The following is a 15,272-nucleotide window of genomic DNA, read 5'->3' as shown; positions in this document are numbered from 1 at the left end:
CTGCCTCGGCCTTGCAAAGTGCTAGAGTTACAGGTGTGAGCCACCACGCCCAGCCCTGAATACATCTTAACCGGCCAGGCACAGTGGCTCATGCCTATAATCCCAGCACTTTAGGAGGCCAAGGCAGGAGGATCACTTGAGCCCAGGAGTTCAAGACCAGTCTGAGCAAGATAGTGGGACCCCATCTCTAACAAACAAGAGAGAAAAAGATATTAAATAAAAAATTTAAAAAATGAATACACCTTAACCAAGCCAGAGAAAGATGAGAATGTTCCATTTTTTCCCTACAGATCTTCCCACCAGCGGCAACCACAGGAAAGGATGCTTACAGTCAGTTTTGTAGCTTTCTAGTATGTTCCACAGAACATCAGCCCTGAAAGATGCTCTGGAAACCGTATTACTCTGCTCCCCAATTAGAGACTCAGGTGCACACTAATAAGATACGGGCTCCAAGGAGGCTCCCAGTAAGAAACCTGTTTGGCTTTACGTAAGTGAGCAAAGCTTAGTTACAAACTGTGCCAGACTTAGTCATGATGCCTTGTTTTAAATAATGCCCTTAATGCCACCTATCAGAAGTCTTCTCTTTCAAATGGGGCAAAAAAGTATGTGGGTGCCCACACTGCCTGGGCTCAACTCTATTCTTCCCAAGTGAAAATCCTGCCCGCAATGCTCACCTGGGACTCCCGCTTCTCCTCTCTCCAGGCCAGGGCCTCCTGCCCGCACCTTGTGGGCGCCTCCTTCACCAAGTGGCCCCACGGTGAACTGGAAGGGGCTGCCGGTGACGTGCTGCCCACGGTACTTGACGCTGACCGTGTGCACGCCCATCTCCTGGGGCACAAACCGGACGCAGTGTGAGTTCTTCCCCATGGGCACAATCTCTGCCTCAGTCACACGGCCAGAGGGGCTGGTGACGTGGGCCGACATATCACTGCTGTTGATTTCTGAAAGAGGGAGGGAGGTTGGGGGAGAGAAGAGGGTTAGGGCAAGGGCCTGAGACAGGGCAGGACATGCAGGGCAAGCAGCCGAGAGCAAGGTGTGTGCAGCCCGGTGGACGTGAGGTGCCCAGGCTTCCTTCCCTTCAGGCTGGGTGCCTGCCCTTCTGTGGCCAGCATGGAGTGGGCAGGGCCCTTCAGGCCACCCATGCTGGGGGCACTGAGACTTTTTGCCAAAGGTGACGTGGTCATCCATCATGCACAGACGGGCTCCTTTCCACAGATAGGTAAGGGTAGAAAACAAGAGCCATCATCCTTTACCGTCAAGAAGCTTTGGCATTTCTTTTAGGCAACAAGACAAAGTTAGAGAAAAAGGTGAACATATGTAAGTCCCAATGGCAGAGGGGAAACCATGCGTGAGCAAAGCTTTGAGCAAACCAAAGACCAGGGGCCACACTTTCAGAAAAGCAATGTCTCGGGTCACCAGTGCTAGGACGCAAGACCACATCACTCTCCGTGAGCTGCTCACGTCATGCCAACGACTGTGCCTGCACTGCCGTGGTGAGGCCAGGCGGCCGCATGCGGGGCACGGAGCACTGCCATCACCTAGAGCCAGTATGAAACTGCACCCTCCAGCCCCACAGGATCTGGGCAGAGCAGTTCATGACTCTGACCCCTGAGGACAGAAAAGGGAAGGGAGGTTGAAAAGAGGGTCACCCATGTAATGAACTGAATGTTTGTGTCCCTCCAAAATTCAAATATTGAAACCCTACCCCCAACAATGTGATGGGATTATCATGGGCCTTGAGGAGGCAATTAGGATTAGATAAGGTCATGAAAGTGGAGCGACCCTGTGATGGGGTCAGTGGCCTTGTAAGAGTCCCAGACAGCTGGCTCCCTCCGTTCTCCAGCATGTGAGGATACAAGGGGACGCTGTCGGTTTGCAGCCTGGAAGGAGGCCCTCACCACAATCTGGCCATGCTGGCACCTGATCTTGGACTTCCAGCCTCCACAACTGTGAGGCATACATTTCTGTTGGTTGCCACCTAGTTCATGTGATTTTGCTACAGCAGCCCAAACTGACAAAGATGCCCCGCAAAACCTGGGTCCGGAGGACATCTGAAGTTAGTGAGCTGTCCTCCATTAAGGAGGAGGGGATCTCCGAGAGGATCATTTGGGTAATGAGTGGAAAATCGAGCCTCACCCAGAGTCATCTGGTACTAAGTAACTAAAAGAATAACAAAATGGCCAAGAGCTGGAAGAGACTTAAGAGAAAGGGTAAACGTCCACACTGCAGATACTTGCTAGTTCCTCAAGAAATAAGCAGAGCACAGAAATTTTGCCAAATGAGAAATGTAAAGCAAATGAAAAGAAAACACAGTACACATATCACTAGTAATCGAAGATATGAAACTGAACACTGAATGCCATGTTTTTCCATCAGGTTGGCCAAAGTGAGAAGGAGAGACAGCCCCAGTGCTGGTGGGGGAGTATGGAGAAATGTGGAGGGCGGTCTGCCAAGGCATGGCAGCATCTGAAATGCACCAGCCCAGCCCACTCCTGGGCATCCAGCCCACAGCCTGAGCACAGGGTGGCAAATGTCACAGCAGCCCTGATGATGGGAGCTGAGGCACAGAGATGAGTAACGAAGGTTGATGCATCTAGACATGAAATGGAATCTCTCTTTTTCTATCACCAATAGTTCCATTGAATGAAATGGCATTTTATCAGGGTCATGAAAGAGATGATGTGGATGTCTATTTTTTGAGGTGGGAAGATGCCCACAAAAACAGTGGATGAGTACACCAATGTGACTGGAAAGTGAGCAGACGTGGCTATGAGGATGGGGCAGCCAGGGTCCAACTCTGTACCTAAAATGTGAACCAAGCTCTCTCTGGGAGGTGACACTTCCTCCCCCCACCTTGAGGCACACGAACTGTTTATGACTACAAACGATCAGTACAGCTCTTTTTTTTTTTTTTTTTTTTTTTTGAGAAGGAGTCTCACTTTGTTGCCCAGGCTGGAGTGCAGCGGTGCAATTTCAGCTCACTGCAACCTCCACCTCCCAGGTTTACGCAATTCTTGTGCCTCAGCCTCCTGAGTAGGTGGGATTACAGGTGCCCGCCACCACGCCCTGCTTATTTTTGTATTTTTAGAAGAGATAGGGTTTTGCCATGTTAGCCAGGCTGGTCTCGAACTCCTGACCTCAGGTGATCTGCCTGCCTCGGCCCCCCAAAGTGCTGGGATTATAGGAGTAAGCCACCGCGCCCGGCCCAATAAAGCTCTTTTTAAGTGATCATGTCTGAACTCTACAGTAATGAGGCTTTACCACATTCCCATGTGACCCGACGTTGATGTGACTACACAAGAAGAACCTGTTAACTAAAGCCAAGAAGGCGGAGTCGACAGCTCCGTGACTCGTTAGGAAGGATGGGAGATGCAGTGTAGAAAGACAACCCCCTCTCCAGAGCTCGCAACACAAGCTCCATCTGAAGACGATTTAGATTTCCCTTCTCTGTAGAATTTGTGCAATTCCACAGGACATGCCAACTTCTGGGCAGAGGAGCCTCAAAATTTTCACTCACAGTGGCTTCCCTCTGGAAGGATTCTTTATAGAAAGAACTTGGAACACATTTCAGACAGACTGTGTGACCTGTTGACTGGCTAATCGGGGCCCAAGAAGAACAATTCACCACCAAAGGGCTAGATGTGGCCCAGCGAGTTCTGCAGCACAGCCCTCGTTCTAATTTCAGGAATGAAAGAGAAATACTAGAAGGATGCCGCTGGGCTGCCACCTCTTAAATACTTCCAGACCCTGGCATCGGCAGGGCCAGTTCTTTCACTGACATGATTCTATTTGACAGATAGTTAATCTAAAAATCTAAAAGCATATCTACGTTTCCCCCATGTGACACAATAAAGCTATTTTTATTTGGAAGAGGAAAAAGGTAGCAAGGTAAACATTTGTTTTTCTTGGATGAGACTCTGTGAAAATAAACATAGAAGAACATAATGAAATGAAGTGAAATGAAAAGGTCAGCACAGCCGACTTGGATACTGTGTTCTGGGCCATGCCTAAACTTGGTTCCCAAAGGCACCCACTGCCCTGAAGGCTGGAGCCAAGGCTTCCCCACCCTACTAGTCCCCGACGCCCACCTGGGATTTTCAGGTTCAGGTCACAAATGCTCCCGACAGTGGCCACGGACGGGGCCCGACTGGTGCGGGTGATGCTCTCTTTGACTCTTCCCTCCCCACTGATCTTCACGGTAAATGGGCTCCCTGCAAGACCCAAGAAGGCTCCTGTGAGCAGGCCAGAGGCCAAGGCACAGCATTTACAGAAAACCCAAGCATCCCACCTGGAGGGGAATGGAATGCACATACCAGGCACGTGCTCGTCAGCGAATTTGGTGGAGACGATATAAACCCCAGGCACGGTAGGGAAGTAGGAGACTTTGCAGGTGCCATCTTCCAGGTCCTCCGTCTGGATGTCCACTTTGCTGGGGCCTTCCACCGCCAAGGATATGCCACCATAACCTGCAACACAGCAGCCCCAGGCTGTTCTGACAGCAGCTCCTCAGGAAGAGGGAGCCTGATGAATGGAGAAAGGACATCCGACCCTTACGCCTCAATCTATTTCTACATAGCAGAAAGAAAGCAATGGCGGCCTCGTTTGCAAAGCCCAGAGGGGGATGAGTAGGTTAAGCGTCCTGAGAAGCCCCATAGTGAAATAACCTGCTGAACCTGGTTTTGACCACAGAAGCCTTTCCTTAAGGATATTTACTAATATCCCATAGATGATGTGTCCCGTACAAACTGCTGGGGAGGACCTTCTGCCCTCACGCCTCCAAGTACTGCACGTACCACCTTGGGGGTTTATCCACAGCCAGATCTGAGATTTTGAATTTTTAAATAGCCCCTGGCTACCTCAGCTAGGTCAGCATATCCGAAGGTTTAACAGGGAGTATCTCCCAACCAGGACCAGAAATTCTCCAGCCCTCTCCCCGGGTTAGAATTTGTCTAGAATTCACCAGCGTGGCCATCCTTCAAGAAAGCAGATGACTGGAGGCACTGGGGTGTGGCAAGCTTGGAAGAGACACAATCTAACTCAAACCATCTCAAAGAGAAAACAGAAAGAGATGCTTCATTTCCACAAAAGCTCTGCTCAGATGACCATGGTCTTGGCCAATCAACCCAACATTCTTTGCTTGGAGAGACGCTGGGAAGCTGAGAACAAGGGTGGGAGAGCAGATAAGAAAACAGGGGTTTGCGAGGTGTTGTGGCTCTGGGTTCAGATCCTAGTGCAGAGGGGGCTCTAAACCTTGCAAGCCTCAGTTTCATCATCTAAAAAACAAAGACAATCCCATTTTTGCCAATGGTCATGAGGCATAAAAGACAATGCAGGCAGAAGGACCTATAGCTTGAAGGATGCTCAGAAAGGAAAAGGAGTTGGTAGGATGAAAAGATGACGCTGCCTCAGCAAAATAAGTCGGTTCCCACAAGCTCTGGGCCTCTCCCCTGGGACCACACAGACCTGCATCCCTTGTGTCCACGATGAAGTCAGACATCTCGAAAGTCCGGCCTTCTGACAGGCCGCGGCCATAGACTTTGGCTCGGCGGGCGTCACCAATCTCCGACTGGACCACCATGATAGACACGGGGCTGTTGGCCACATGGTTGCCATTTTTCTTGATGCTGACCAGATGTTCGCCCACTTCCCGGGGGATGAAGGAGATGCCTGGACCAGAACACAGATTGGGGCTTGTAAGGGGATGGCGGAGAGGAAGCAGGAGAGAGACACACTCTCAGAAATAGAAATATGTCCTCTTTCCTGACACCCAACAATCCAGAGTGTCGATATCACAATGCACAAATACGCTTGGGCATTTATCGTGCGTGTGACCCAGCAGGTTTATCACATCACACTCCATTGTGCTACCCATTCCCAAGAAAGGACTGCAAGAGTCCCCATCTCCCACCCAAGATGTCCTGGCTCCAGCCAGGAAGGGTAGCCTAGCTCACCAATGTGGTTGTTGGGCAGCCTCTTCAGGAGACAGGGCTCGTCTCGGCCAGATGGGGCCTTAATGCTGGCCGTCAGGCTGCTGAGGTCAGTCTCACTGATGTCGAGCAGGAAGTCAGCGGCTGAGCCCAACTTCACCTGGGAGCACCGCCTGCTGTCATCTGGGAAACATCCCCCAAAAAGGACTCCCGTTACATGTGGTTACCCTGGCTTCACAGAGCTGCCATGCCATATGCTGTTCACGGATGAACACGCAAGAACTAATTACACAAAGTTAAGTGAAAAAAAAATGAGCCTTGAACACTGAGTAGACCCAACCAATGAAGAATGATGGGATTCATGCCTGCTTGCAGCAAAGACAAGAAGCTGGCAGGACCTAGAGACTTGAGTCCTCATGGACCACATTTTAAAGGAATCTTTGGGCCAGGTGCCTAATCCCAACACTTTGAGAGGCTGAGGCAGACGAATCACTTGAGGTCAGGAGTTCAAGACCAGCCTGTCCAACATGGTGAAACTTCATCTCTATTAAAAATACAAAAATAAGCTGGGTGTGGTGGTGGGTGCTGTAATCCCAGCTATTCAGGAGGCTGAGGCAGGAGAATCGCTTGAACCCAGGAGGTAGAGGTCACAGTGAGCCGAGATCATGCCACTAAAACTCCAGCCTGGGTGATAGAGTGAGACTCTGTCTCAAAAATAAAATAAAATATAGGAATTTTTGTTAGTTGAAGGCACCTCATACCTGCCTGGCATGGCTGTGGGCATTTCTAGGTAAACAATGACCACATTCCACACAGTACTACTGGCTGCTTCACAGACAGGTCTAAATACGGTGGGGAAACAGGATCTGCCTTGTGCATCTTCCTTATAACCCACTGAAAGCATAACCTGAACACAGCAAGGTGAGGAGCATGGGCTTTGGAATTTGATAACCTGGATCTGTTTACCTATATGTGAACTTGGCTACACCACTACCTTGCCAAGCCTCAGTTTTCCCATCTGTAAAAGGGATAGCAGAAAATTTACCTAGTAGTGACGCTGAAGGGCATGTCTAAGCTCATGCACTTCATGCACTATTGCAGTAAGTATGATTCGAACACTCCATCTGAGAGCTTTCTCTTTGCACCCTAGAGTCACACTGGCACAATAAAAGTGTGCTCCAAATACTAGCTCTCGCATTTTCCTGGATTATCAGCAAGAGAAGGATTTAGCTAATCCAAAATTGCATTCCATCCCCTGCTCCTCCTCAACAAGTCTCTGTGAAACCTAAACTCAAAGAGACGTCTAGCCTGCTGCCAGGGGTCTGATAAGGAGGGTGGCAGTCAGAGGCAGCCATACTTCCCACGAGGAAGACCCCAGAAGCCAGACAACCCTACCTGTGATCTTGGCTGTGAAGGGGCTGCCAGGGATGTGCTTGTCATTGTACTTGACCAGAATGCTGTAGTCGCCTGGCAGAGTCGGCAGGTAGGTCACTGTGCATGTCCCATCTTTATTGTCAATGCAGCTGATTTCTGCTTTTGAGGGGCCCTCAATAGCCAAGTCCAGACCACCTACAAGTGGGAACAGGGATGCAGGGGTGTTAGGGAGAGAGTTGCCTTGTTTTAAGAGTTTCCTTTTAACAACTCATCCAGGGCAGCCCTGATGCTGGGGACAATGGATTGACGCACTCCACGTGAGCTGTGGGCAAAGGGACATCTGTCAGAATGAAGCAGTCCACGCAGTAAAAACACCCACTGAGAAGAAACCCCAAACATCTGAGTTCTTCACTGCAAGTAACCCTGGAGCTCTCTCTACTCTCAGGATGCATGGGATGAGAAAAGGAAGGAGCCGTGTACATCAATTACACATAGGAGACGGTGGGTGGTGGAGGGCAGAGGTGGATTGTCCCTGCCCATCAGGCACTGGCTGCCATCACGGAAATCCCATTAGAACCACAGATTTGGGATTATCCATGAATACCACGGGAATGGGCACACAGCTTTATCAAAAAGAGCCACTCAGTAAGTCATGTGGTCTTGTGGATACATGTGCAACAAGAACAAAAACATCACCAACCAAAACACACTTAAATTCCAGACAAGTCACATAAAGTATTTCATAGCATGAATCTGATTTCAGTTAGAACACAAAGGACTTCAAAAATGTCTGTCTGGGTAGAAGACGAAGCGGCTCTAAAGAAGAAACAGATTTACACGAGAGAAAAGACAAGACAAATACTACCATTCGATTGTCTCACTTTTAAAAGCCACCCTGGAACCGTGTCCACTTCACCCTCCAAATGGACAGCTGGAGGCGTATAAACACGTAAACCACACAGTACCTTCTCCTGCATCCTCTGTGACGATGGTGAAGGTGGCAGTTTTGTTGGCCACTCCATACACGAGGCCTGGACCGTATGCAGAAACACTTCCACTGTTGGGGTAGTTCACGTAGAACTGGAGTGGGCTCTCTGGGTTTACGAAGGACACAAACAAAATTGGTGCTCATTAAGGGGTGAACGAAGACCCTGGACAACTGGCATCTTGACGTCCACCTCTCTACAGGTCTGGCGCCTCCTAAGCAGAGGCATGAAGAGACAGAAGGAGATGCACATGCACCTCCCATCCCCCGCCATCCTAGGACATCAGAGAGGGTCTACGCAGTATTATTCCTTCAATCACAACATAAGAAAAACAATCCTGGAAGCTGCTCCAGATGAGGAAGGGGGCTAAGGTAAGGTACCAGCCCAACCTGACAAATAAGGAAGAAACTTTTGCACTGGGTGGTGAAAGGACCCATGGCCAGAGGGAAGGTAAGTGGAAAGGGCTTTTGGAAGGCCATTTGCCCATGCCATTCAACCTGTAAGGAATCAACCCCACAGTGGTCTTCTCTGCCCACCCCGACTCCTAGCCCTATGTAAGCACTTTCATTTCTGCAGTGTTCGGGTGCACATCAGGAAAAGACCTAAGTGTTCACAACAGGGGACCGGTTAAATAAATGCTGATCTACTCATGGGCCATTAAAAAGAGTGAGGAAGACCCATGTTTACTGACTTGAGAAATTATCCATAATATGATGCATTAAAAAGAAAAAAAGCAAGTTGCTATAAACTATGAATACCATTATGCTATTCCTTTAAAAACAAAATAGAATAAAATTATATGTATGTTTGTAGATACAGAGAGAAACATCTGAAAAGATACACAACTCACACCAGCAGTGGAAGTGGATGGCAGATGTGAGAAAGACATTTTTTCCTCTCTCTCCATCTGCCGCTTTAGAATATTTAAATAGAAGCAGATAATACATTTTTGCTTTAAACCAATATTACATACAGACAACTAAAGTAAATGCCAATCTCAGAGAAACATTTGCAACTCCTACCACAAAGGGCTAATCTCTCCAATGTTTACATTGCTCTTAGAAACTATATGACAAAGGCCAATAACCAAATAGAAAAACAGGCCGTGGATCCAAATGTTCAGTTCACAGAAAAAGAAATACAAATAGACATAGGGAAAGTTGTGTGGTCTCATTCACAAGAGAAATACAAATAAAGCAACGCTGAGATTCTGTTTCTTTCCAACCATCAGACTGGCAAAGCTCCAAAAATTTGATACCATATTCTACTGGCAAATTTTGTGGAAAAGAAGGTGCTCTTCTCCATGGCCAGAGGGCGTGTGAACTGCAACAGCCCCTCTGAAGGGCAATTTGGCAAGATCTGTCAAAATCATAGATGCCTGCACTGGGGCCCTAGCATTGCCTCCTCTGGTAACTAAATCTCACAGATACATCTTTGTGAGTGTGAGGTGACTAGGGGAAAAGTCGATTTGCGCAGCAACACTGGGGACAGCGAGGGCAGGAAGAACCAAAATGCCCTCCAATAGGGAAATGGTCAAATATGTAATGGTTCGTCCACATGAGGGAAGGCTGGGAAGACACTCTCTTATATATCTGTATTTCCGTTTGCATGGAGAGTCTTAAAAATACTCTGAAATTGGCCAGGCGTGGCGGCTCATGCCTGTTATCCCAACACTTTAGGAGACAAAGGCGGGAGGTCTGCTTGAGGACAGGAGTTTGAGACCAATCTGTGCAACACAGTGAGACCCTATCTCCACAAAAAAATAAAAAATAAAACCCTGAAACTCTGAAATCGAACATAAAAAAATTTATGATAGTCTAGTTCAAGGAGAGGGGTAGGAAGGAAAACTTTCTTCGTATCATTTTTATTTTTGAACCATGAGAATGTGTTACCTATTCAAAATACTAAATTAAAAAACAAATACAACTACAAAAAGAAAGAATGAACTGGTGACACTGTGCTGGTTGGTGACCCATGAAACCTGGGCTGGCTTCCCTTGTAGAGGGCTGCTGGTCCTCTTCTTCCAGGGCTGCTGGTCCTCTTCTTCCACCTCTGACCTGGCCCCAAGCCTCCAGCCCACACAGGGCTCTGCAGGCCAGGCTGGAAAGTCCCTCACCATGCCTCCCATTTTTCTCCCAGCTTGACCTCTGGCCACACTCAGCGTAGTGACAAAGATAAACAACCACAGACCCAAAGGCCTGCACTGTGACCCAAGACACTGAGCTACATCATCCCTTCCAGAAATCAGCTGGACCTGCTAGGGTCCCAGACTGTTTGGTTTCACAGGGGTACCAACGCTGCATTCTCCAGCCTGCTGCCGAGAGCTGCTCCCTGCAAAGCGGCTGAGGAGTGTCTGCAGGCTGCCCGGATGCCCCTGAATGGTGGAGCCCTGCTGGGCCTGCTGACTCAGCTTACCAGGGATGTGGCTGCCCATGTATTTGATGTGCATCTCATGGAGCCCGACCTCAGTGGGGGCATATCTAACAGTGACCGTGCCGTCCTTGTTGTCCACAATCTCAGGTGTGGCTGTCTTCCCAGAAGGCATGTGGACCTCTCCTATGGAGCACAGAGAGACGGGGCAATGAAGCCCACCAGCAACCTTCCCCAGAGAAGCAGAGCCCAAGGCACAGATGTATTCAAAATAAAGGTTTCCAGACCCAAGAACATTCGTTGCTGCCTAAAACATTCAAGTCCCACAATGGGAGAGACCATTTGCTCTTTTCTTTTTTTTTTTTCCAGTTCCATTTGGCTTCCACAAAATATAGCAGACAACTCTTAAAGAGTTTTCTACAACTGGCAAAATCAAGCTCAGAAAGGACTTGAGAACACCATGAAACCAGCTGGATACATAGAGCATCAAACCAAAGAGAAGTGGGCCATTGAAAAGAGGCTGAGGGGAGAAAGGAACTCCTGTATGACAGACTCAGTGTCAAAGTCACATCTGGAAAAGTCAAATAAGAGAAGGCAGGAAAAAGGGGCAAACAAGAACCCGACAGTCATGAGGTATCTAAACACAGCAGTTTTTAACCTAGAGAGAATCATGGGACTGCTCAAGAAAGTAATGCAAGTTGTCAGTGAGCCACTTCTTCAGAGAAACACACACGTGGCATATTCTGTAGTTTCAGGAGCCCACGGCCCAACACCGGAGACCAAGAACTCGTGACCCTGGGTTAAGGAGCCTGGGTCTGGGGGACAGTGGACACACCTCCCCAGCACCATTCTGGGAAGCTCGTGAGAGCAAGTGAGAATGAGACGGCCTTTATGGCAAGTGCTTACCAGTGATTTCTCCTTTCCTGACAGCAAACGGAATGACCAGGTCAAAAGGCTTAAATCCCAGGCCGTTCATGTCACTCACTGGGACATAGGCCTCTTCGGTCACCTAAAAACAGAAGGCAGTGGTCACTGGGTAAAGCAGACAACAGCGGGAGCTGGTGAAGCTACAGGGGTTAGAGCTGCTGGGAATTCTACAAGCCAGTGAGGCCGGGATTTGGGAATGCGGCTGCCCATTGTGGTATGGGCTTTGTCTAAGTGGCTCCAGACCCAGGGTAGAACCTGAGGGACTGGAGAGGTCATGCTGACCAACTGTTAGCAATCACTCGGGAGTCTGTTTGTAAAATTCCCAGCAGCACCCACGGGAAAGTGGAAAAGTGAGAGACAGCAATGTCTATGAGTCCCAAGAGGCTCCATCTGGAAAGGTTTAGTTGCTTGTGGCCTGGAAAAGAAGGTGCATTTTAAGTGGCAGAGAGTAGCAGTGGGTGGCTTTCCCCCTGAACAGAAACTGAATGTGCAAGTGGCGGCTTTGAGAGGCAGCAGGAGGGCTGCAGACAGCTGTCTGTCTTTCTCTTTAAACACAGAGACAAACTGCACCGAGCGTGATCACAGACACGACGGCTGGCGATTCGTGGAGCACGGATGGTGACGCAAAGGTGATCTTATTACAGAAAAAGCAGGGATCATCGTGATGGGCTGATCAGTGAGGGGCACACCAATGACCAGGACACCCACAGGGCTTAAGCAATCCCAGAAGCAGATGGCAGATTTTCTGAAATGAAGGCTGAGTAAACACAGAAACACAAAAAGGAAAAAACCAAAATTGTACCCAGGGCCTGAATCCAGGGGGACATGCATTTACCGGTGCCTCCTCCACGGCTGTGACTTCCCCATCTGTGGCCTGGTCAGTGGCAAATGGAGATTAGTTGGGAACCATACTGGAAGGATACACTCAGTAGACTACCACCACAGAGCTGCTTCCCCCACTGCTCCATCTTGAACTGCAGTGAGCCACTCACTCTAGCGAAGGACACTTTCTTACTGCCCTTTTGGAAGGCAGTTGGTGTCCTCTCTTCAACTGTCAGATGCGCATGCCCTGTGAGCCCACAACCCCACTTGTAGCACGCAGACCTAAGCTGGCGGGAGACTCCATAGTTAATTGATGTGTGTAAGGACCTTGACTGGTGCTGTCTGTGGTCGTGCAAAACTAAAGCAACCCAATGTCCATCTGGAAGGGATTTGGTCAAATAAATTCTGGTGAGTCTGTCCAGTGGAACATGGCAGTCAGGTCCAATGAATCAATATGTAAGGGTACCTATGACACATTGAGGGAAGGAAGCAAGGTGCGAAAGCAGTATGTACGGTGTGACCCCAGGCATGAAAGTGAGGTGTGTGAAGTGTAAGTAGGTAAAAACTAACACAAGGCATCTCTGCAGCACAGAATCAGGAAAAAGTTCTTTTTTTACTTGATAAATGTCTACTGTGGTTAATTATTTAATTTTTTTTGAGGCAGAGTTTTGCTCTGTCATCCAGGCTGGAGTGCAGTGGCGCAATCTCAGCTTACTACAGCCTCAACCTTCTGGGCCCAGGTGATCCTCCCACCTCAGCCTCCTGAGCAGTTGGGACTAGAGGCGTGCACCACCACACCAGGCTAATTATTATTTTTTTTTTTTGGTAGAGATGGGGTCTCACTGTATTGCCCAGGCTGGTCTTAAACTCCTGGGATCCAGCAACCCTCTCACCTTGGCCTCCCAAACTGCTGAGATTTCAGGCATGAGCCACCATGCTCAGCAGTTAATGTTTCTAAAGTTTTTTATAAATTCATTTTCAACAAATCTTAGCTTTAATGCTCATGGCTGGGCGCAGTGGCTCATGCCGGTAATCCCAGCACTTTGGGAGGCCAAGGCAGGTGGATCACTGGAGGTCAGGAGTTACCAGCCTGGCCAACATGGTGAAACCCCATCTCTACTAAATATACAAAAAATAGCCAGGCGTGGTGGCAGGTGCCTATAATCCCAGCTACTCGGGAGGCTGAGGCAGGAGAATCGCTTAAACCCAGGAGGTGGAGGTTGCAGAGAGCTGAGATTGCACCACTGTACTCCAGCCTGGGTGACAGAGTGAGATTCTGTCTCAAAAAAAAACAAAAAAGATTTAATGCTCCTGATTCAACAGAACCAACAGCAAGGGAACCCCTCTCAACACCCTCTTCCGCCATAAGAAAGAATAAGAATCAGAAGCCCTCTCCTACAGAGGAAGGCCTATTTACCCATGTTAACTGCTTTGTGTGTATCTTGGGATCTGCAGAAAGGCAAAGGCAGCTCTGTGAGCGACATTTGGAACAGCCCTATCCTCTGCCTGCACAGGTTGGAGCTATGCAGGGACATATCAGTCAGAAGGAAGATCTTTCAATGGCTGAGCTATGGCCTTTGGTCCAGGACTTCTCAAAGGCAATGGGCAGTTAAGCTGTTTGTCCATGACTCCATGTGCTGTGTGTGAGTAGTGTATTTGAAGAAACCACCCTGTGGGTCTCCTTGAGACATTTGCTATGACTGCAGTGCTGGTCGGTGTCCTTTTTTGGCGTCAAACTTATAGAGGGAAGCAGGGAATCTACCCAACCAAAGCCAATGAACAGTCAGTCAGTCCATCTAGTTAAGGTTCTCTCCCTGGAATGAGAGAATAAAGACCCAAACCAGGTACTGTAGGTGATCGTCCCTTTCTGCCTTCAGCAGTGGTCAGGGGGCAGTGGGTAAACACAAAGTATTCTTGCTTTGTGTGTATTCAGGGGCTAGAAGACACTTATTACTGAGTTTGGAAGCCTCCACTTCTGCAAAAAGGGTCCTCAATTTTTTTACTCTGACTTTCTCACGTAGACCTTCCCAATATGGTCTTCTCTTACCCCCAAATCATTGCACCAGCAGGCCCATGACCACTGCTCAGTGCTTGGCTGCTCTTCCCTCCTTCCACCTAATTCTAACCAACCAGATAAAACCCACTATGGGCTAAAAACAGATTCTGAAAACTACAACTGGTACCCTTCTCTGTGAATAAGGACATCAACTTCCCAGCTGTATTTCTTTCTTCCTACAGGAGAAAAACACTCTTAAATGAACAATGTCAAAAGTTGACAAGTGTTTACATTTACATACTTGAGACATAAAAGAGCCTCCAGATCTCTGGCATGCTGTTTACAGATAAACAGACGTCGATGGAAGGGAATAATACTACAACAGAGTATAGACTGTTCGGAAGAAAGTCCCTGAGCTTTGGAGTTTGGAATGGAGTCTTCATGCACCTCTCCATTGCTGCACAAAATGAAATAATTAGAAGGTGCTTTGTCGGCTGTGCACAAGGCCAGGTCATTAAGGGCCTATAAACCTTGTGGTCAAGTGCGGCTGCTGACCACAGTATCAAAGGACACCAGTGAGGATGACAGCATGGTATTTGGTGTCTGTCTAGACCAAGCATGCTTCATTTGTAAAAAAGCCAACGATGCTTGGTTTTGAGGGTTCAATGAGGTAATGTCCCCAAGGTTTCTAACCCTTTTCCTGGTTGAAGAATATTCAGAAGAAGATCTATTATGTAATAATAAAAATAAATAAACAGAGGAAGATCTATAAGTAACTCACAACTGAAAATGAAAGACCTTGGTCATTCACTAACCCAGGTGTTTGCATAATGGTTTCCTCCTTTTATTCCAGATGTTCCTAGCTGCAAA

The 15,272-nt window shown here is 48.3% G+C and overlaps 1 protein-coding gene across 4 annotated transcripts in view, besides 1 other annotated feature; it reads right to left on the bottom strand.

The window, feature by feature from the left end:
- FLNB (filamin B) overlaps positions 1 to 15,272 on the bottom strand; it is a 163,830-nt gene that overhangs the window by 17,936 nt on the left and 130,622 nt on the right. For 2 of the 4 annotated variants that reach the window (NM_001164317.2, NM_001457.4), the window contains 10 exons: positions 12,387 to 12,458; positions 11,564 to 11,666; positions 10,703 to 10,843; positions 8,267 to 8,395; positions 7,323 to 7,496; positions 5,952 to 6,110; positions 5,464 to 5,667; positions 4,314 to 4,466; positions 4,089 to 4,211; positions 675 to 941 (listed from right to left, as the gene is read on the bottom strand). In NM_001164317.2, coding sequence (NP_001157789.1) covers positions 675 to 941; positions 4,089 to 4,211; positions 4,314 to 4,466; positions 5,464 to 5,667; positions 5,952 to 6,110; positions 7,323 to 7,496; positions 8,267 to 8,395; positions 10,703 to 10,843; positions 11,564 to 11,666; positions 12,387 to 12,458 — 1,525 coding nt within the window. The remainder of the gene's footprint in view (positions 1 to 674; positions 942 to 4,088; positions 4,212 to 4,313; positions 4,467 to 5,463; positions 5,668 to 5,951; positions 6,111 to 7,322; positions 7,497 to 8,266; positions 8,396 to 10,702; positions 10,844 to 11,563; positions 11,667 to 12,386; positions 12,459 to 15,272) is intronic. The other 2 variants (NM_001164318.2, NM_001164319.2) reach the window with 2 other exon arrangements.
- Positions 10,260 to 10,554: an enhancer, noted in NCBI's record as "tiled region #3708; HepG2 Activating DNase matched - State 14:Gen5'". NCBI's record gives its function as "activates a minimal TATA promoter and a strong SV40 promoter by Sharpr-MPRA in HepG2 cells {active_cell/tissue: HepG2}" and the evidence as "EXISTENCE:reporter gene assay evidence [ECO:0000049][PMID:27701403]".

The sequence above is a fragment of the Homo sapiens genome, chromosome 3 (assembly GCF_000001405.40).
Source record: "Homo sapiens chromosome 3, GRCh38.p14 Primary Assembly".
Taxonomy (NCBI): Eukaryota; Metazoa; Chordata; class Mammalia; order Primates; family Hominidae; genus Homo; species Homo sapiens.
This window is presented reverse-complemented; position numbering and strand designations above follow the sequence as displayed.